Below are 23696 nucleotides of genomic sequence, written 5' to 3'. Positions count from 1 at the left end.
GGGAATTGATCAAGCATGGAAAACATTAACTTACATTTTACCTGAAGTTTTCTTGATATAACTTTGAATTTTATTTAAAGTAGAATAAAAATGTTCCCATAGCAAAGTACCGTCACTTCAAATAAACCTTTTCCTTTCCACTTTCTCAGCAGAACCACTGCAGCAATTGCCAGCTATTTGGTGAGTCCCTTCTCTCTCTGCTCCTAATCTGCTCCTCATTGTTCTGAAAACAGTTCCATGACCATGTCACTCTTTTGTTCACTGACCATCAATGGTTCCTCACTGTTCACAGAATAAAGCTCCATTTTATAGATAGGCATTCAAGGCATTTCACTTGAGGCTCTAAACTGCTTTTGCCACCTCATTTTCCATGTTCTCCTTCATAAATTGTTTGCTATAGTCAAACTGACTAATACGAAAAACTATCTTTAACCTCCGCCTGCATGTATTAAGTGGATTTTCTTAAATACCTACAACAACCCTGAAAAGTGCAATTGTTATTTTTAGTCTGTATATGAAGAACCAGTGCATAAGGGAAAGAGGTAGGATTTGAACCCTGAGTTTTTCCACTATGCCCATTTTTTTCCATTTTTTATTGTGGTAAAATACACATAAAATTTACAGTTTTTACCATTTTAAGTGTACAGTTTAGTGTTACTAAATACATTCATAATGCACATCCATCACCCCATCCATGTCCATAAATTTTTGTCCTGTAAAACTAAAATTCTATACCCATTAAACAATGACTCCTCTTTCTCTCCTCCCCTACAGCCCCTGAAAAACACCATTCTATATTCTGTTTCTATGACTGTGATTTCTCAACTATATCATGTAAGTGGAATCATGCAGTATTTTCTTTTGATGAGTAGCTCATTTCATTAGCATCCTGTCCTCAAGGCTTATCCATGTTGTAGTGTATGGCAGGATTTTCTTCCTTTTTAAGGCTATTTTGTTTATCCTTTCGTCCACTGATGGACATTTGGGTTGCTTCCTTGTTTTGGCTATTATGAATATGGCTGCTATGAACATGGATGAAGTAAATATCTCTTTGAAACCCTGCTTTTGGTTATAGACCCAGAAGTTCCCACTAAGCCCTTTTGCTTTGGATTCCCTACGCAGAGCCCTCTAATTGGACTTTTACTTTCCTGCCTTTGAGCTTTTCCTTTTACTGCGCAGCCTACCTGGCCTGTCCTATTTTGGTTCCCTGCCTATTGAAGTCCTGTTTATTCTGCAAGGCTCTTCTATTTGTACCTAGCCCAATGCCTTTCACACAGTAGGTGCTCAATAACTAATATATAGTTAGATATATCTTTGCCATATCTGTGCTAAAACAACATAAAAAGGTAGGAGGCAGAAATGATGTCTTATTATCCCTTATGGCCTGCACACAGTAAACAGTTTAGGAAAAGTTTATTAAATAAATAAAGTCCCCATGCCCCCTGGAACAAAAGGTATGCAGGGCAGTGTATTTCATGGGCTGTCCAAGACCTCATGTCAGAAACGTATGTTTAGGCAGCAAGAACACACAAGAGGCAAGAGAGTAAGAAAGTACGCTGGAAAATTTTGCTAGCTGGGTCAATTCCAATTTGGCAAAAACAAGCCTTCTGCTTTTTCTCCAGGGTTCTTTCTCCCAGCATCACTTATTAATGCTAATTAGTCAAGGGTGTGCCATGATGCAGAACACTTGTGACCCATAAGGATTAGAGAGAGACTGTCATTTCTCAAATGACCCACGAGAGGCAGCCAGAGGCAGTGACGGGGAAGGAGAGGAGGGGAAGAGGAACTTCTCTGCAAAGAATCGCACTAAAGTAAGTGCAAGTAAAAATAAATCCACATATAAAACAACTGTACAAATGTTAGCAGTATTTTCACAGCTGGGTTTCTTTGCCTAAAATACTTAGCACTTACTTTAGAAAACTCACTTCTAAACATAAATGGTCTGACTGATCACAGAAGCTGAACCCTGATACAACTCTGACTTTGAACTTGACTTCTGCCCAGATGGGAATAAAAATAATGACTTCTTCTAAGTAAGAACCTTAATTGCCATGAATTCACACCAGACTGTGGTGGGTGACCTTTACCTCACATATGAGGAAATTAAGGTAGGGCTTGGTTTAGGAAGCTAGATTCATAACAGTCAGCATATTTATATCCAGATTAGGCAGGACTCTGGATTTAAAACACTTTCCCTTGGAAAACACCGACTCTGTCTGTTTCCATGGCACTAAAAACACCCCACTTGAATAACTGCCCAGTTACTTATCATAGCAGGATTAGTGGTCTTCTCAAGGCATCTGCATTCACATTCCTGGTATTTATTTCCTGTAGATATTGGTTTCAAAGACTGATGCCACAGGACATGAATAATCACGGTGACTCACTTTTAGGGACTTTCCCCTGGGGAGTGCCACCTACAGAGCCTCAGAATGAAGTGGGCACATATTAATTAAAATATGTTTCATCTCCAAATGACTATGACAGAAGCTATACTGATGAATATGACAACTAAATACAAAATAATACCGCAATGACTAGCAATGATTCAAATATTGTGCTCATGATGTTATCTTTCATCCATTTATTTAATAAATGGATTTATATAATGAGTGACGGGACTTCTATGTGTCAGAGTGCTGGTTAGGACAGGCCATGTTTCAATAAATTTACAACCCAGCAGGCACTGTTCCTATCAACTAATGAGATTTTTAAATTTAATATTTTTTGGTCAAAGCAAGGGAGTCTTCAAAATTACCAAAAAATATATTTGGTAAGGAAACAGTAAACAGAACCAATTATTCCTTCTTGGTTGAGTTAAGAAAACACGCTTTGTGCTTACACTTCCCATAGTGATCAGGGATTTCTCACCCCTTGAATTTCTGTAGCATAAATTGTTGACGTCTCTTCACTTCCCTGTCTCATTTCCTTGCCCAGGTGGTGAGCCCTGTGCATGAGCCTCTGCCTGACTCATCTTTGTATCTGCAATGCCTCACACATGCCTCATATCTCCCCGCCAGGCAAGCAGTGTTAGTGAAAACAGGATGTCATCAGTTCAGTAAAGAAGAGATTGACAACAAACTGTGAATAGAAAAGTCAAATAGGAATGCATTGGCCTTTAAAAAAATTATTTTCCAAATTATCCTATAGTAAAGTTGACTTTTTTCTTTGATGTACAGCTCTATGGATTTCCACATATGTATAGATTTGTGTAACCACCACAAAGAGGATACGAAACAGTGCCATAACCCCCCAAAGCTTCCCCATGCTGTCCCTTTATATTCACCCCTCCCTCCACCATAATCCCTGGCAATCACTAATCTCTTCTCCACCATTGTGCTTTTGTCTTTTGAAACTGGCATCTCTTACTCAGCACAGAGTTATCTAAGTTGTTCTTTTTTATGACTGAATAGTGTTCCATCATATGTGGTATCACAGTTTATTTACCCTTTCACTCATTGAGGGACATTCAAGTTATTTTCAGTTTGAAGCTACTGTGTAAAAAAAAAAAAAAAAAAAAAAAAAAAGCTACTCTGAAGTTTTGTTTATCAGTTTCATGTGAACATACATTTTCATTTTCCTGGGGTAAATACTCAGGATCGGCCTTGTGGAGTTATAGCGTAGATGTATGTTTCACTTTATAAGGAAACTGCCAAGCTATTATCCAGAGTTGCTGTAGCATTTTCCAATTCCAGCCATCATGTATGTGAATTCTACTTACTCAGCATCCTTGTCAACACTCTGTGTTGTCAGTATTTATTTTGGACATTCTTTTTTTTTGACGGAGTCTCTCTGTTGCCCAGGCTGGAGTGCAGTGGTGCGATCTTGGCTCACTGCAACCTCTGCCTCCCGCGTTCAAGCAATTCTCCTGCCTTAGCCTCCAGAGTAGCTGGGATTACAGGCGTGCGCCACCACGCCCAGCTATTTTTTTTTCTTTTTCTATTTTTAGTAGAGATAGGGTTTCACCTTCTTGGCCAGGCTGGTTTTGAACTCCTGACATCAGCTGATCCACCTGCCTCGGCCTCCCAAAGTGCTGGGATTACAGGTGTGAGCCACCACGCCTGCCCTTATTTTGGACATTCTGATAGGTGTGTGGTTGTAGCTCACTGTTGTTTAAATTCACATTACCTTAATGGCTTGTGGTATTAAACATCTTTTCTCGTACTTTATACAGCAGTCCCCTCTTATCCAAGGTTTTTCTTTTTGCAGTTTCAGTTACCAGCAGTCAACTGTGTCCTGAAAATATTAAATAGAAAATTCCAGAAACAAACAATTCGTAAGTTTTAAACTGCACACTGTTCTGAGCAGTGTGATGAAATCTTGCGCAGCCCTGCTCCGTGGGACATGAATCCCCTCTGTCCAGTGTATTCATGCTGTATAGGCTACTTGCCTGTTAGTCACTGAGTAGGCATCTCACTTATCAGATTACTGTCACCACATCCATCGCATAGTCATTTTATCATCTCACATCATCACAAGAAGAAGAGTGAGTGCAGTATGAGATGAGGGAGAGACCACATTCACATAACTTTTATTATAGTAAATTATTATAATTGTTTTATTATGAGTAGTTATTTAGGGTTCAGTACGATCCACAGTTTCAAGCATCCACTGGGGGTCTTGAAATGTATCCCCTGTGGTTAAGGAGGCGATGGTGGGGGAGTCTCCTGTGTCTTCTTTGGTGAAGCATCTGTTCAATCTCTTTGTTCATTTTTAATTGGGTTATTTGATTTCTTATTGTTGAGTTTTGAGAGTTTGTTATGTAATCTGGATATAAAGTTCTCTGTTAGATAGGAGATTTGAAAATATTTTCTTTTAGTCTGTGGCTTGTCTTTTTATTCTCTTGGAAGTGATTTAGCAGAGCAAAAGTTTTTGATTTTGATAAAATTTCATTTTTTCTTTTTTGTATCATGCTTTTGCATCATTTAAAATTCCTTTCCTAATCCCAGATAATGAAGATATTTTTCTATGTTTTCTTCTAAAAGTTTTACAGTTTTATGATGAATACATTGCCTTTTGATGAACAAAGAAAATGGGCTACTTGATAATAGATTTCCTTCTTGGTGGTGTAGTTTGCCCTATTGATTTTGGAGAGTTGTAGGAGCCTTCTGGACAGGGCTGCATGCCTGGGAATGTCTCTTGCATCACACACAGGCAGAACCGCAGTCTGCTATCCACCATCAAATATTCAAAAATAGTCTGATAAGCAAGTGTTTTTTCATGTGTGCTAGAATCATATGATGATAATGCCTGATCTGAACCAATGCGAGACTACTTTTGTTTATTTTATCCCTACTGATGTGACCACCACACATTCAGTAATAGAACTCTTCATGTGTTGAATTAGGGGTCCTACTCCAGTCCCTGATCAGAGTATTCCACAATATTCAATGTATAGACTGTGTTACATATCTACCGTCTGAAAATTCTGAATTCTGAATAGTGGATTTGTTCACAAGGGTTTCAGAAAGAGGATTGTGCATCTGACATTTAAATGGTTCTTGTGATATGATAGTTCTCATAGTCGCAACGAGGAAGTCTTCTTCCAGTGTCCCCAAACCTGGCCAGAAGTTCACATTAATTTGACTGAGGATGGAAAGAGGGGTCACTATATTTACTACATTATTCAATCCAAATTAATATGTTTCTCTCATGACAAAGGAGGTTTCTTGATATCTTTTCCCATTCTTCTTTCTGGTGATAAAACTACTGACCAGTCAGCCTCTAAATATTGGAGAAGGCCTTGACTTTCACATGATGATGTATGTATATGAGTACACACATCGGTTAGAAACAGGATGGGAGGCCAGGGTTAGACCCAAGCAAGGACACCCCAGCCCTCTGCTTGCCAGGACTGGGATGCTGTGTGTCCATCTGGGCCAACTGGAAACAAGAAGAAAGACAGGGCTTGTGGCATGATTTGGGGCAGCCTGTGCACAGTGGCTGGCACAGAGCAAAGGCCCAATAGAAGTTAAGCAAAGGGCATTCTGACCACGATGTCTGGTCATTTCAGGTGTGACTGTGCCTATAATTGTACCATAAGGAATTCAGCCCATGCGACTAAGCTATGCCTTTCTCTGTAGTAGCTTAATGGGAAATCAGGGCATCTCCGGCACTGTAGTGTGTCACTTCATCAGACATAGAGCCAACTCACACATTTGTCCTTCTGATGCATGTCTTTCCTCCTCCTTTACCGATGCAAGTAGAGTGAGAACCCATGCTATGATTCCACTCCCTGTCTAAAACCAAGTGTACTCTGAGAAAGTTAGAAACTATTCTGTATCTGCTTCCAGAAGCTTATCTCAAGACTTAAAAATTGAAGAGAATAAAATTAATAGCCAGGAGTAACAAAAAAATAGAGAGATTTTAGCTTGCCATTTCTTTAAGTTATGTATTTTTGTCTTGTGAGGTTCAATTTGGAGAAAAGCACTTAGACACGAGGCAGGGTCGGTTCAGGGGCAGGGCCATATTTAAAAGCTCAAAATGCTTGCTTTTGTGGTGACAAAGGAATCGACACTTCTTTTTTCTTCCCCAAAGGAAACAGAAGCTTATTATCCTGACAGAGGAAATGCAGAAATTTGTAGGTGGAGATTAACCCTTACTCCCAAACACTGAGGCTCCTGTTCAACTTCTTGCTTAAGAGATTTTAGTAACTTTTAAAAATTCTTAGCATGCTACATTGGTTGGCTCTCCAAATAATTCAGAAAACTTGTGACCTGAAGCTTTCATGGAGTTGATGTAACTGTTCTGGAAATCTCTTGACTTGAACTTGAGACTCACTCACACACAGCTGCAGTATGTCCACCATCAACAGCAATCTGTACCCAGAAAGCAGTGGGAAATGGGGAAAAAACAAGAGACAACCTCAAAGAAATCTAGGTCTTTCCTGAGCTGCAGTTCTACATATTGACCACCAGGTGTCTATCTTCACACAAGCAGTCTTGCTTGGATGATGGTGTACTACTTGACTGTGGGATTATTTTAAAAATGAAAGCAATTTTTTAGATATGGGTATATATGTAAGTATAAATGTGCAAATGTAAAGTGAAGTCTCAAAGCCAAACTTAATAATTTACAATTCCTTATCTAAGTAGGATAATCAATTGAACCTTGTGTTGATCTTCTAAAGTTGTTTGGAAAAACTAATTGGGGGAGTAAATGGCCAATAGATTTGGGGAATGGTGAAAAAAAAATTGTCCTCTTCCTAAATTTTATCATGCTTTTTTTTTAAATTTCAAGATTCTTAGCATGCAAACAGGTGTATGTTCCCAGGAACATGGTTTTTGGTAAAAACAGACGAATTGTATTCTGAGCTGGCTTCTGTACTCTGTAGTTCAATTTCATAGTTCAGTTTCTATTGTAGCTTATTTTCCAGTTTCAATTCTAGGCCCTGATACAGGTGAAAAATATCTCTACCAGGAAGTGCAAGAATAAGATTTGACTTTTTTTGTCCCATAATTGGAAGTGACATTATAGTAGAATTAGATAACTCCAGTAAGGTTTAGGATGCACAATTTATGCATTTATGTCAATCTTAGAAAAGAAGTGCTCTTTTGGTCTGTAAAGAAAGGTCACCAGATTAAACAGTTTCAGGGATATCTTTTATATCTCTCTACTTTTGTTTGTTGTTCATTTGTTTTGTTTTGCTTTAAGTTACCCAAAAAATAGTTTCCATAATTTTAGGAACCTTCTGTTTTCATTCTCTTCCTTGCCAAAACATGGAGGTCCCTGAGAGCCCTAGAGGCCCTTTATATCTTTAAATAAATTATATATAGAAGAGACTTAAAAAAATTACCTAGTACAGAAGTACTTTAAGAGAAAGAACTGTACCATCCTATGCAACTATTTTAGTGAGGCCTGAGGAGGAAGAAAACATAAATATATTACATCAAAGCACTGCGTGGAGACTGAAGACTTTCCTTTTGGTTGTTATTTTTAAGTTTTATTTGGTTTCATTTATTGTTTTGATACCTTTGAAACATTAAAATAAGTTTCTCCGGTGACTATATCTATCAAGCTCTTTATTGGGTGGTGCTCTCACCAATGTTGGCTTCTCATTTCTGTTCCCTCAAATATTTATAGACAATGCTTACTAAAGCTCAGTTTGTTCCCAAATTTTGTGTTTTTTGTTTTTTCTTTTCTTTTTTCTTTTTTTTTTTTTTTTTTTTTTGAGACAGAGTCTTGCTCTGTCGCCCAGGCTGGAGTGCAGTGGCGCGATCTTGGCTCACTGCAAGCTCCACCTCCCGGGTTCACGCCATCCTCCTGCCTCAGCCTCCCGAGTAGCTGGGACTACAGGCGTCCGCCACCATGCCCAGCTAATTTTTGTATTTTTAGTAGAGACGGGGTTTCACCATGTTAGCCAGGATAGGATGGTCTCGATCTCTGACCTCGTGATTTGCCCGCCTTGGCCTCCCAAAGTGCTGGGATTACAGGCGTGAGCCACCACGCCTGGCAATTTTGTGTTTTTAACACTATTTTTTACAATACGTTCATTTGTTCATTAATTTGATCAAACTTTTTATTACTCACTGTGAACTTCATGCTGTGAATAGAATAAAAATGATTAGGAACCAGTCTCCTCTCTCAAAAAGCTATTAAGCCAGTGAAAAGAATTTTGTGAGCCATCTCCTAAATACACTTCTGGATCCTATTGAATAACGTGGAAATATGTTACGCTGCAGGCATTTGTGAAATAAAACAAATTTCTGTTTTATGTCATGTAATGTGCTTTCAATATAAAATTGTTATGTTTAGAGAGCATCGTCACTACAATACATGAAATAATAAGTCATGTTTTTGCAATGGAGGTGAAACATAGTGATCTACATGTTTACATAAAATTACCATGCAAATTATATCTCCAATATTATTTATTAAACTAATGGATGTGAGCAGAGAGGTAAGGACTGATATCAATGTATCTATTATATGAAGAGGAAAATAAAAATTCACTTTGCAAAATTATTTTCACTTGGCTTTAGTTGTCTGGATATAATTATTTTACTTTTATTATTATATTTAAGTCATTGCATCTGTTTCCAAAATGTTCTGTAATGGAAGTATTAACAGGAAGCAAGTTCTGCAACTGAAACCGCTTTCTCTCCTACCATAGCATCTATGGTGATGAATGAACATAGGAAAAGAAATAAAAGCAGTAGAAATCTGGAAGGAAAACTTCTAAATGCTTAGGTTAACTGTGGCTAGAATGAAATGGAGAGGAACCACCTCTCTGTTTCCTTTGAAAACTATTCTTAAAAATCCCAGAGTGCATGTTATAACAATTGCCAAAAGGCTAAATGAATGGGTTTTTCATTAGGCAAGATAAAATGGTGGAGAAAAATTTGTTTTTTTTTTTAAGGATGTCAATACTGGTCTAGTTACTATGCTTTGAAAAGAAATCCAACAGGTTCATATTGCTTCATAAAACTGTGAAAATAACAAGCCTGCTTAAGTGGAAAGGGCCCCTTTAAAGTCTGAAAGATAACTTCAAGGTCAAGGAAGTTCTTTGTATTCTTTCATTTATTTGCTGAGCTCTGACTAGTTTGCTGACTATAAACCTTTACATTCATCTTGCTATTTTCCACTTAAGGTGGTCATTTGTTTATTAATTCACTAAATATTTATTGAATGTCAGCCAGCATTCAATAATGGGCATGTAAATTAACAGATATGGGTCTTACCATCAAGGGGCTCCTTATCTAATGTGATAGCAAATGGGTCCCTCAACTCATTAAAAATATCGAATTATTGAATTATAATAATGTGAACACAATTTCAGCAGTTCAGAGGGTTGATCCTGACAATCACCCATAAGTGGATATTTAAGCTTGTCCATAGTGTTTAACTAGTTTTTTGATAGCCATGAGGTGGTAGAAGGCATTTTAGGAAAAAATAAAGAATACCATGAAAAATCATACAGCATGTAATTATATGCTTGCAGACAAAGCGTAGAATAATGTAGCTGGAGCATATGTGCATGGAACAAAAGTAGCAAGAGATGAGGACAGAAATAGTAAATTAAAACTAGGTTACGATAATTCTTGATAGCATTACAAGGAGCAAAGAACTCATTATGTAATAACTACATTTACAGAATACAGTTAAAAAGAAAAAAATCCTACATCACAACTTTATCACTGAGGACTCTTCAAATTCTAAGTAACTGAGCACCTAGGCCAAATAGCTTAAACAAAAAGAGAACTAATTGGTTTGCATAAATGCATGTGTAGACTTCAGGCATAGCTTAATTCAATGACCAAATGACATCACCAGGACCAATCTCTCTGTCCTGGGTTTGCTCCATACTAGGGATCTTGGTATTAATGCCTTACCTCACTTTGTTGCCATGACCTTAAAAGCACACTTTGAGACTGACATTATCCAGATGGTAGAGTATGAAGCCCCAGACACTTCTTTCCTCCAGTGGAAACACTGATTCAACAATATATAGACCAATTCCCTTTATGATAAAGTAGAAACCAGTTAAGAGGCTTCTGCACCCCAAGTGAATGCAGAAATCAGCCATATCAAAGCCATTAGAAAAATTTATGGCACCTTAATACCATAATCTCTCCCCTTGTCACAGCACCACACATTTGGGAAGAAACTCCTAGCTCCCAGCCTCTCCCTAAGGAGGAAAAAAGAAGTTTCAGCTGTATGTCCAATGTTCTGACTTTTTGGGAGGTACCTGAGGGACTGGCTTCTGTTTCACCTGTCTCAGAGCACTGATTGGAGCCAGCATACTCTAGATTTCTGGGAGCCACTGAGAACAAAATAGAGATGGGAAGCTTATTGCTGCTTCAGAGGGCTTACAGTAGAGCATATAGGGCTGAAGTGGCCTCTCAGGGGAGAAAGAGAAGAGTGGAATATATATCAAGCTTTCTGACTTTTCATCAGCAACTGGTTTTTGTCTAACTCAACTTGGGGTGCTGATGGAACAAGCATACTCTAGCTCTTTGGGGGAAGCTGAGAACAAGAACGAGCTGGGAGCATGCTGCTGTTTTAGAGGACCCATGGTACAGCAGACAGACATCAGAGGGAGCCAGAGATTATGAGCTCCTAAAAAAAGAAACAAGCAAATCTCTATAATTAAGAATCTACATGCAAAAGTCCAAAGAAGACACATCACAGAAAAGATTTGAGAGGGCTCCAGAATCCCCAGCCAATCTTAATGATGATATCATTCCCTGTACAAATCCAGTGTGTACAAATTGGGAGAGGTGGTTGTTTTTTCAAATGTGTAAGTACCAGCGCAAAGTTTAAAAAAGCAGGAAGAAACAGGGAGAAATGCTCCAATAAAAAAAAAAATAAACAAATCTCCAGAAATCAACCCTAAATAAATAAGTGTATGAATTACCCAACAAAGAATTCAAAATAAACTTTAAAAGATACTCAATGAGCTCATACAAACAATGACTGAGCAAAATAAGAATTTCAACAAAAAGATACAAACAAAAACAATAGAATAAGTGTTGGAGCTGAAGAATGTTGTAAATGAACTGAAAAAAATAACTAATATTGTAAACTAAAATTAGAATCCTAAGCCCCCACCCCACACTAACTGAATGGACCCCATTTTGGCCAAAAAAACTATAGAGAAATCTTAAAAACTGAGTTCCCAGCCATGATGGGACAGGAGGTCAGACATGCCTTATTATACACCCTCTCTTTTGCAGTTTAGACACAATGACTGACCAGCATTAATGTTAAAATAGAGATCTAAGACTGACAAAACAAACTCTTTGTGGCAATGAAATGTCAAATTATAAACAGGACCCAAGGCCATGCCAGGCAAGAGTTAAGTCATGCATCCCCTACACTTAAAAAATAAACTATGTTCTAACTGCCACAAGATTTTTCTTTTTCTTTAGCAGCTAAACAAACACTGGTCTTGAGATAAGCAGTATCTCAAAAAAAACTTTCAGCTCTTCTACCACCAGCCACTGACTAACTGACCACTCTGTTCTACAAGTCATACATAACTACAGCTTTAATTAGACAAGAAACTAATTTGTCTGATAAGATTACCAACTGTGGACCTGTTCTAGCCAGTTTAGAGGTTATGCACTTAAGTGCCTTCATGTCCCTCTTCGCTTTTTGAAATATAAGCCCTAATTGTAATGCAATGAGATGTTGAGTCAGAATCACCTGCTTGAATATTTGTAGCTCCTCCTGTAACCTGTTGAATATGTATGTTAGTCAACGCACTCAGCATAAGGCTCCTACCCTAATCCCCGCTCCTTCAAAGTGCCTTTCTCCGTTATTTGCCAGGTGCTATGCTTCCCAGCTGTGGATAGTGACCTTGAAGGCTGTAACTTTCACAAGAAATGAAGTCTCCTCTCCTTTCTAAATTTATAAATTTTGTGATTTTTCAGTTAACAGTGTTTAACAGCAAGCTTGATTAAGCAGAATAAAAAATCAGTGAACTAGAAGACATTTGAAATTACCCAGTAAGAAGAGCAAAAAGAAAAGAGAATAATGGAAAAGACTGAAGAAAGTCTAAGGGCCTTATGGGAACACTATCAAAACACACATACACACACACTATAAATGTATATACTCTCTCTATATATATATTAAACATAGGGAAATAAATAAAAGCAGTACAAACCTGGAAGCAAAACTTCTAAATGCTTAGGTTAACTTTGGCTAGAATGAAATGGAGAGGAACCTTTTCTCTGTCTCCTTTGAAAATTATTCTTATGAATGGTTTCCCTGAGAGAGATATATATATATATATCTCATATATATTTATATATTACGAATGTATAATATATATATTCGTAATCAGAGTTTCATAAAAAAGAAGAAAGGGACAGAAAGCTTACTTAAGTAAATAATGGCCAAACATGTCCCAAATATGTGCAGGAGATAGACAAACAGGTTCAAGAAGTCCAATGGAACCCAAATAGGATGAATCCAAAGAAGTCAGCACTGAGACATATTATAACCAAATTGTCAAAAGCCAAAAATAAACAAATAATTTTGAAAGCAGCAAGAGAAGAGTGACTCATCACATACAATTGAGCAATATATGACTATCAGCAGATTTCTTAGCAGGAACTTTGCAGGCCAGAACAAAGTGGGATGATATATTCAAAGTACTAAAATGACAACTAAACGCCAATTAAGAATGTCATATTCAGCAAAATTACTTGTCAAAAATGAAAGAGAGATAATGACTTTTTCAAAGAAATAAAAGGCAAGAAAATTTGTCACCACTTGGCCTCACTTATAAGAAATGCTAAAGGAAGTCCTTCAAGTTGGAACAAAAAATATGCTAAACATTAAGACAAAGCATATGAAAGTATGAAGCTTGCTGATAAAAGTAAATATATAGACAAATACAAAATGCTATAATACTATAACAGTTGTGTGTAAATCACTTTTAGTTTTGGTATAGAAGTCAAAAGACAAAAGTATAAAAAATAACTATAATTATAAAAATATGCTAATTGATACAATAAAAATGCAATTTGGTATATCAATAACAAAGTATGGAGAGGAGGAGTAATACGCAATTGTGTGTGCAACTGAACTCATGTTGTCATCAGCTTAAGGCACATTGTTATAATTATAAGCTATTTTATGTAAGTCCCATGATAACCACAAAAACAAACCTATGGAAGGTATACAAAGGAAAATGAGAAACGAACCAAAGTGTATCACTACAAAAATCAATGAAACACAAATAAAGATAATGAAAAAAAGTAGGAACAAAAGAACTATAGGACAGATAGAAAATAATTTTTAAATGGCAATAGTAAATCTGTTCCTGTCAATAATGACATTAAATGTAAATGAATTGAACTCTCTAAACAAAAAACATAGAATGGCTAAATAGATAAAATTTTTAAAAACATAGTCACATACTCTCTGCAAGAGACTCAGTTTAGATTAAAAATAGTGAAAAAATAAAAAGAAAATATATCTCATAAAAATGGTAAGCAAAATCGAGCAATGGTGGCCATAATTTTTTAGGCAAAATGGATTTTGAGTCAAAAAGTGTCACAAGAGAAAACATGGATATAATACAATGACAAAAGAGTCAGTTCACCAGGAAACATAACAATTATAAGTATATATGTACCAAACATCAGAACACCTAAATGAATAAAGCGCACATTGACAGAACTGAGAGAGAAATAGACAGCAACACAATAATAGTAGAGAAATTTAATATTCTACTTTCAATAATGGAGAGAACATCCAGACAGAAGATTAATAGGGAAACAGAGAACTTGAACAGCACTATAACCCAACTGGACCTAATAGACATATACTGAACATTTCACTCAACAGCAACAGAAGAAACATTCTTCTGAATTGCAAATGAAATAGCCTCCAGGATAAATCACATATAAAGTCGCAAAAGCCTTAACAAATTTAAAAAGATTAAAATAAGTATTTTTTTGACTGTGATAGAATGAAACTAGAAATCAATAGCAGAAAGAGATCTGAAAAATTCAAAAATATGTAAAAAATAACATGCATAAATATGCAGTGGATCAAAGAAAAAAATCAAAAGGGAAATTAGAAAATGTCTAGAGACAAATGAAAATAAAACACAACATATCAAACCATATAGGATGTGGCAAAAGTAGTTCTAACAGGAAATTTTATAGCAATAAATGCCTACATTAAAAAAGAGAAAACAGGCCGGGCATGGTGGCTCATGCCTATAGTCCCAGCACTTTGGGAGGCCAAGGCAGGTGGATCTCGAGGTCAGGAGATCGAGACCATCCTGGCTAACACGGTGAAAACCCACTAAAAATACAAAAAAAATTAGCTGGGCATGGTGGCGGGCACCTGTAGTCCCAGCTACTCGGGAGGCTGAGGCAGGAGAATGGCGTGAACCCAGGAGGCAGAGCTTGGAGTGAGCTGAGATTGCGCCACTGCACTCCAGGCTGAGCAACAGAGCGAGACTCCATCTCAAAAAAAAAAAGAGAAAATATATCAAATAAACAGCTTTACCCTAGACCTCAAGAAACTAGAAAACAAAGAACAAACTAAGCCCAAAGTTAGCAGAGGGGAGGAAAGAATAAAGATTAGAGCAGAGATAAACAAAATTGAGAATAGAAAAATCAATGAAACTAAAATTTTTTGAAAAAAAAACTAATTTGACAAACTTTTACATAGACTAAATAAGAATATAAGAGAGAAGATTCAAACAAAATCAGAAATGAAAGAGGAGACATTACAACAAATACCACAGAGATAAAAAGATTTATAAGAGGCTGAACAATTACATGCCAACAAATTGGATAACCTAAAAGAAATGGATCAATTCCCAGAAATATCCAACCTTTCTGGTATGGTTTGGCTGTGTCCCCACCCAAATCTCATCCTGGCTTGTAGCTCCCACAATTCCCACATGTCATGAAAGGGACCTGGTGGGAGGTAATTGAATCATGGGGGCAGGTCTTTCCCATGCTATTCTTGTAATAGTGAATAAGTCTGATGAGATCTGATGGTTTTATAAAGGGAAGTTTCCCTGCACAAGCCATCTCTTCTCTTGTCTGCCACCATGTGAGATGTGCCTTTCACCTTCCACCATGATTGTGAGGCCTCCCTAGCCACATGGAACTGTAAGTCCATTAAACCTCTTTCTTTTGTAAATTGCCTGATCTTGGGTATGTCTTTATCAGCAGCATGAAAACGGACTAATAGAGTAAACTGGTACCTATAGAGTGCGGCATTGCTGAAAAGATACCACAAAATGTGGAAGCGACTTTGGGACTGGGTAACAGGCAGAGGCTGGAAGAGTTTGGAGGGCTCAGAAGAAGACAGAAAAATGTAGGAAAGTTTGGAAGTCCCTAGAGACTTGTTGAATGGCTTTGACCAAAATGCTGATAATGATAATGGACAAGGAAATTCATGCTGAGGTAGTCTCAGATGGAGATGAGAAACTTATTGGGAACTGGAGCAAAGGTGACTCTTGTTATGTTTTACCAAAGAGACTGGCAGCATTTTGCCCCTGTCCAACTTTGAACTTCAGAGAGATGATTTAGGGTATCTGGTGGAAGAAATTTCTAAGCAGCAAAGCATTAAAGAGGTGACTTGGGTGCTGTTAAAGGCATTTGGTTTTATAAGGGAAGCAGAGCACAAAAGTTCAGAAAATTTGAAGCCTGATAATGTGACAGAAAAGAAAACCCCATTTTCTGAGGAGAAATTCAAGCTGGCTGCAGAAATTTGCATAAATAGCGAGGAGCCAAATGTTAATCCACAAACAATGGAGAAAATGTCTACAGGGCATGTCCAAGACCTTTGCAGCAGCTCCTCCCATCACAGGCCTGGAGGCCCAGGAGGAAGAAAAATGGTTTTGTGGGCTGGGCCCAGGGTCCCTCTGCTGTGTGCAGTCTAGGGACTTGGTGCCCTACATCCCAGCTGCTTTAGCCATGACTAAAAGGGGCCAAGGTATAGCTCAGGCCATGGATTCAGAGGGTGCAAGCCCCAAGCCTTAGCAGCTTCCACGTGGTATTGATCTTGCAGGTGCACAGAAGTCAAGAATTAAGGTTTGGAAACCTCCGCTTAGATTTCAGAGGATGTATGGAAATGCCTGGATGTCCAGGCAGGAGTTTGCTGCAGGGGCAGGGCACTCATGGATAACCTCTTCTAGGGCAGTGTGGAAGGGAAATGTGAGGTGGGAGCCCCCAAACAGACTCCCCCACTGGGGTGCTGCCTAGTGGAGCTAGGAGGAGAGGGCGACCATCCTCCAGACCCCAGAATGGTAGATGCACTGACTGCTTGGACCATGCACCTGGAAAAGCTGCAGACACTCAATGCCAGTCTATGAAAGCAGCCTGGAAAGAGACTGTACCCTGCAACAGGGAAAGAGCTGCTCAAGACCATGGGAACTCACCTCTTGCATCAACGTGACCTGGATGTGAGACATGGAATCAAAGGAGATCATTTTGGAGCTTTAAGATTTGACTCCCCTGCTGAATTTTGGACTTGCATGGGGCCTTTAGCCTTAATTTTGGCCAGTTTCTCCCATTTGGAATGGCTGCATTTACCCAATGCCTGTAACCCCATTTTATCTAGAAAGTAACTGACTTGCTTTTGATTTTACTGGCTCATAGGTGGAAGGGACGTGCCGTGTTTTAGATGAGACTTTGGACTGATGACTTTTAAGTTAATGCTGAAATGAGTTAAGACTTTGGGGGAGTGTTGGGAAGGCAAGATTCATTTTGAAATGTGAGGACGTGAGGTTTGAGAGGGGCCAGGGGTGGAATGATATGATTTGGCTGTGTCCCCACCCAAATCTCATCTTGGATTGTAGCTCCCATAATTCCCACATGTTGTGGGAGGGACCCAGTGGGAGGTAATTGAATAATGTGGGCGGGTCTTTCCTGTGCTATTCTCATGATAGTGAATAAGTCTCATGAGATCTGATGGTTTTATAAAGAGAAGCTTCCCTGCACAAGCTCTCATTATCTCTTGTCTGTCACTATGTAAGACGTACCTTCCACCTTCCACCATGATTGTGAGGCCTCCCCAGCCAGGTGGAATTGTGAGTCCATTAAACCTCTTTTTCTCTAAAAATTAGTCTCATGCATGTCTTCGTCAGCAGTGTGAAAATGGACTAGTACACTACAAAAACTTATTCATGGAGAAATAGAAAAGGTGAAAAGACAAATAAGAAATGAAGAGATTGACTCAGTAATTAAAAACCTCCCAACAAACAAAATCCCAGGGGCCTTTTGACTATTCTTGTCCTTTTGCTTTTTCATATAAAAGTTTTAAGATCAGTTTGTCAAGTTCTATGGAAAGCCCTGTTGGGGTATTGATAGGAATAACATAAAATCAATCTATTAAATTTGTGGAGAATTGACATAGTTGTAACTTAAGTCTTATTAACCATGTACATGGTTTATATCTTGGTTCAATTGGGTATGCAAAGTCAATCAAAGTTTCATAAAGGTTTTACCTTTTTATCTTTGTGGATGTTTTATATTTTAATTGATACGGTAAGTGATGTCTCATCATTATATCTTCTAGTTGTAGCTTATACTTATAGACAATCTGCATAAATTTCTCTAAGTCTAAAAGTAAGTGTCTGCAAATTCCTCTTGAATTTCTATGTGGATTATATCATCTGAAAATAATAAGATTTTTTTCTTCTAAAAATAGATTTTTGATTAATGAACCAAAAAATAGATTCAACAGAACCTCTAATATAATGTTAAATGAAATTTTGATAGCAGGAAGATGTGTAATGCTTCTAATTTTAACAGAAACATTTTGAGTTTTACTATTTAGAATAGTGATTTTAAAATGTTGTTGTAGTGCCTTTTCTTTCAGGTTGAAGTATCCTCCTCTTACCTGAGTTTATTAAGGAATTTTTAAATATAAAGAACGAATGTTGAGTATATTGCATGCTTCTTCTGCATACATTGAAGCAATCATATGATTTTTTTGGTTTGATTTGTCCATGTCATTAATCACATTAATAGATTTTTTATGATTGACCCAGCCTTGTATTCCTGGAATATAATTAGCTTAGCCAGCATGTATTTTTGTTTTCTACAATATGGAATTCAGTTTGCTAACACTTTTCCTTAGCTTTTTTCATCTATGTTTATAAATCAGAACTTGTCTGATTTTGTTCTCAAAATGTTCTTTTCTTTGTTTAATATGCAGGTTATATGAGCCTCATAAAACTAGTTGGGAGTGGCCTTATTTTTGCAATTCTTTGGAAGATTTGGTATAAGGACAGAATTCTCTGTTCCTTAAACATTTGAATAACTCATCTCTAAGCTCATTTTTTGTCACATGGTGTTCTTAAATCAGTTTTAATATTTTCTGTCTATTTCATCTAGGTTTTAAAATATGTTGGCATACACTTTTAATAACATATACCTGTAAGAAAATCTGCTGCATCTATAATAACGTCTTTTAAAAATTTCTAATATTTTTTGGGGAGGGGGACCGTTCCTTTTTTTCCAGGTTAATCTTATCAATTTTTATGTCTTTTCAAACAACCAGCTTTTGTCTACGTTTATCCTTTCTCATATAATTATTTTGTATTTTTATAATTATTGTTCTTTATTATTTTATTCTTTTATTTTACTTATGTTCATTATGATGATCCTTCTAATTCCATAAATTGAATACCTAGGTAATTAAGTTTTAACTTTCCTTCTTTCTAGGATAAACATTTAAGGCTGTATACTTTTTTAAAACTACCATTTAGTTAAATCCCACAAATTTTGAAAGTAGTATTTTTATAATCATTCTGTTCCAAGTACTAATTTTCACTAATAATTTTGTGTGTTTTTAAAGACAATTTTTATTTTATTTCTAAACTTACGGACTTTTTAAATTACACTTTTTATTTTAGAATACTTTTAGAGTCATAGAAAAGTTGCAAGGATAATGTGTAGGATACAGAGAGTTTCCATATACCCTACACTCAGTTTACTTATTATTAACATCTAAAAATATTACGGTAAATTTGTTAAAACTGAGGAAGCAATATTAATATGTTATTAACAATTAAAGTTCATACTTTGTTCATATTTCTTTTGTGCTTATCTATTTTTTTTCTGTTCCAGAATACATTTCATTTATCTATCTTGTCCTTTGAACTCCTTTATATAGTAACAATTTGTTAGACTTTTCTTGCTTTTGATGACTTTGATAATTTTACAGAGTATTTGTCAGTCATTTTGTAGAATGTTCTTCCTTTGGATTTGTCTAATCGTTTTCTCATGGTTAGCGGGTTATGGTTTTTTGGGGAGAAGTAAAATGCTATTTTCATCACATCATTTCAAAGGGATGTAGTATTGACATGACTTATCATTAATGATGTTAACTTTGATCACTTTCCCTCAAGTAGTGTTTGTCAAGTTTCTCTACTGTTAAGTTATTCTTTTTTTCACTTTCTACGTGCCCTTTAGAAGGAAGTCACTATACACAGTTCACATTACAGGATGGAGACTTATGCTCCTTTGGGGAGAGGGCATGAGGATATTTATGCAAATTATTTGAAATTTCTCTGCATGGTAGATTTGTCTCTTCTCTGTTATTTGTTTATTCAATAATTTATTTATGTCAGTATAAACTGATGGATATTTATTTTATACTTTGTGTTATAATTTAATTGTAGGCTATTTATTGCTTTGCTTTCAAATTATTTCAGCTATGACTTTTTATGGATTTTTAAAGTTAAATTTTTTTTTTTTTTTTGAGACGGAGTCTTGCTCTGTTGCCCAGGCTGGAATGCAGTGGCATGATCTTGGTTCACTGCAAGCTCCGCCTCCTGGGTTCATGCCATTCTCCTGCTTCAGCCTCCCGAGTAGTTGGGACTACAGGTGCCCACCACCGCGCCCGGCTAATTTTTTGTATTTTTAGTAGAGACGGGGTTTCACCGCGTTAGCCAGGATGGTCTTGATCTCCTGACCTTGTGATCTGCCCGCCTCGGCCTCCCAAAGTGCTGGGATTACAGGTGTGAGCCACTACCCCCGGCCATAAGGTTAAATATTTTAAAGTTTAAAAGCCATCTTTTGACTATCTACTTCTATTTCATTGCATTGTGACTAGGTAAAATAATCTGTATAGTACACATTATTTATGATGTATTAGTGTTTTTAATATCCTATCAGATGGTAAGTTTTGTAAATAATCCAAATACCTAAAATAACTTTCATTTTCAAATCATTGAAAGAAATTTCCTACGTATGCTGTTAGATAGTAACTTTACTAGATTTTTTTCCTCTTTTTAAAAAATTAATTATTATGGGTAAATAGTTGTATATTTTTATGGGGTACACGTGATGTTTTGGTACAGGCAAACAATGTGTAATGATCAAATCAGGTTAATTGGGGTATCCATCTGGATTTTTTTCTGTTTAATATAATGAAAATATATATACATATATGAAATCAGAAATAGATATAGAACTCTCCCACCACTGCGATGGTAAAAAGTCTCACATTTCTCTTTATACATCTGCCATTTTATTTATATATTTTGCAACTGCATTATTAGAAATATTCAAGATTAGATGTGTTTATTTTCCTTGATAAATTAAAGCTGAAATCTTATGTAGTAGCTTTTCTTTTTTGAGACAGAGTCTCGCTCTGTCACCCAGGCTGGAGTGCAGTGGTACAATCTCAGCTCACTGCAACCTTGCCTCCCGGGTTCAAGTGATTCTCCTGCCTCAGCCTCCTGAGTAGCTGGGACTACAGGCACGCACCACCATGCTTGGCTAATTTTTATATTTTTAGTAGAGATGGGGTTTCACCATCTTGGCCAGTCTGGTCTTGAACTCCTGACCTCACGATCCACCTGCCTCAGCCTCCCAAAGTGTTGGGATTACAGGCATGAGGCCTTTTTTTATCTTTAATAATGCTTTTATTAAAGTCTTACCTTTCTGACAGTCTAAAATTACATAACGTTTCCTTTGATTAGTGTTTGCCTGGTATTTTTTTTCAATAGTTTAATATTTCCTGTGTCCTTATGTTTTAGAAGTATCCATTGTAAATAGCACATGTTGGATTAAAAAGATATATTAGTTTCACAATCTTTGTCTTTGGATAGGAAAACAATTCATATTTATTATGTAACAATATAAGCACATGTATTTCTACTTTACCTTTGTATTTATTCTGCTTTTCTAAGTTTCTTCTTTGTGCTTTTCTTACTTATTTTGTAGTGCTTGGTTTTCTTGGAAAGTGTACATTCTGGTATTTTTAGTGATTACCTTAGAAATTTAGTATGTGTGTACAACTTACCAACATCTATAATTCATTGATATCTTCTCCCTTTAACAGTATAAGAAACTCAAAAAATTTAGATTATCTTTTTCTTATTTTATATATTACTATTGATTAATACATTTCCTGTGTTTCAATCACATGAGTAGGCTCAAATATATATTTTAAAGTTTTTAAAAATTCAATTTATTCTCCATTTTTTTTTAGTTTGTATTTTTTAACAGTATCTTACTCCTCATCTTGCTAGAAATAGAAGTTCCACCCTACATTTCCGATTTTCCAGAGAACTCCTTAAAATATCTACCGGGTTGGCTTTCACAGTACCTATCTGTCACATGATTATGACATGTATGTATTAATTCTCTCCTCCTTTAATGAGAGTCTCTTGACAGGAGTAGGCCACCACGAAGAAAGTTTAAAATGTTGGCTTTGCAGTGAAGTTTCCTGACGCCTGATTATCTTTGTCTGGTTTAAGAACATAATTGTTTTTCTCTTGTTCATCATAAAAATAATATTTCTTTTTACTATCTTCTTTACTCAAAAAAGTGGATTTTTAACAACCTTTGGATTATAACAATGCACTGGAACAATCTTCCTTGTTATACACCAATTTCACTTAAAATTTGTTTTGTGGAGGAAAAACATCAAAGCATACCCCCACCTTGTAGAAAGACATGGAATATCTGAGCATTATCTGTAGCAGGCACATCTGGTACCTGAAAAAGCATGGAGAACTTAAAATGTACCTGCCACAACTACCAAGACTATATTTAAGCAAGGAACATGTCCAGGTTGATGAAGAAACATCTCTGGTATGAGACACCACTTGTGAAATATGGAACTTATTACTGAGTTTTCAGCTATTAACAATTGCACCAAATGGTCTTGTGACTCAGCTGCACAAGAAAGGTTTATTCTTGGCTGAATACAATCAATCAACACACCCATTCTTGAGTTAATGTCGGCAAAACCCAGACTCCAAGCCAATTTTTTCCTAGGGCTCTGACTCATAAAGTCTCACTATTAACATCTTCATTCTAAACACAACTCTCACCTAAGTGATAGAGCCTGGATAGTTACAGTATGGACAGAGAAGGAGTGCCTTGTTACCCCAGGATGGGTGGCTGCAGTTGTACTCGTCTCTGCCTGGGGGAGGCTGCCTACTGGCTTTGATTATAGGAGCCAACACTGGGGATCTGGGCCAAGTTCCACTCTCGCATGTAGGAAGCACACCTTCTGCTGCCTTTTTCTGCTGCCTTTATGAAAAATCATGGGTATTAATATCATAAATCTCAGTGATTGCTTAGACAGTCTTGCATATTAGGGCCCCATTGTTAGTTTGCACTTTGCTCAGACCTTGCTCTAATGCCGGGCTTCTTTCAAATTATTTTGGCAGGTGTGTTGGCTGTTCAGCAGTTATTGGGAAAAAGAATGAGGGAAACAGAGACTAGGCTCTCACTTCCTTCTACAGTTCTGTGGCCTGCCCTGTCCCCTGTGCTACAAACCAGATTGGGAGGGGTGAGGTTGGCATCTGGGCCTGGAAGTAGAGAGTGAGAAAGGACTTACAGATTATCCTATCCCCTCATCCCAGTTGACCTGAAACTTAATTTGCCATTACATTTCCCCACATATTCATAGTGATTATATTCCTCAGATGTTCTGAAATGATCCCAGTGGAAAATAGCCCATTCTATTGTTCTTAAGAGAACATTTATATTTATATTTATAAGAGAACCTAAATTTAGGACAAACCTAAATTTGGAGACTGTTTCCATAATATCTTCACTCTGCTACAGGCTTAATAGATAATTTCTACCGGTATTTGTACTCATTTGAGTTGAAATTAGTTACAATGCAGAGTTTCAATTGATACACATTCTAGTCCTCTGGGACCTGAGCTCTCTTCCTTCTCTTTTGACTTTCAAAGACATGATTTAGGGTGGTGAGTCTAGGGACCAAGAGAAGTGAGGAACAAA

At 36.9% G+C, this 23696-nt stretch overlaps 1 long non-coding RNA gene across 1 annotated transcript in view, besides 1 other annotated feature; it reads right to left on the bottom strand.

The window, feature by feature from the left end:
• Positions 1–23696, bottom strand: part of LOC105372932 (uncharacterized) — a 166214-nt gene that overhangs the window by 27693 nt on the left and 114825 nt on the right. The window lies entirely within an intron of this gene.
• Positions 1622–2821: an enhancer, noted in NCBI's record as "P300/CBP strongly-dependent group 1 enhancer chr1:221613046-221614245 (GRCh37/hg19 assembly coordinates)". NCBI's record gives its function as "activates an origin of replication core promoter dependent on BRD2, BRD4, P300/CBP, MED14 and CDK7 cofactors, with strong dependence on P300/CBP, by STARR-seq in HCT116 cells {active_cell/tissue: HCT116}" and the evidence as "EXISTENCE:reporter gene assay evidence [ECO:0000049][PMID:35650434]".

The sequence above is a fragment of the Homo sapiens genome, chromosome 1, assembly GCF_000001405.40.
Source record: "Homo sapiens chromosome 1, GRCh38.p14 Primary Assembly".
In the NCBI taxonomy this organism is placed as follows: Eukaryota; Metazoa; Chordata; class Mammalia; order Primates; family Hominidae; genus Homo; species Homo sapiens.
Note: the sequence above shows the minus strand (reverse complement) of the source record. Positions and strands in the feature narration are given on the sequence as shown.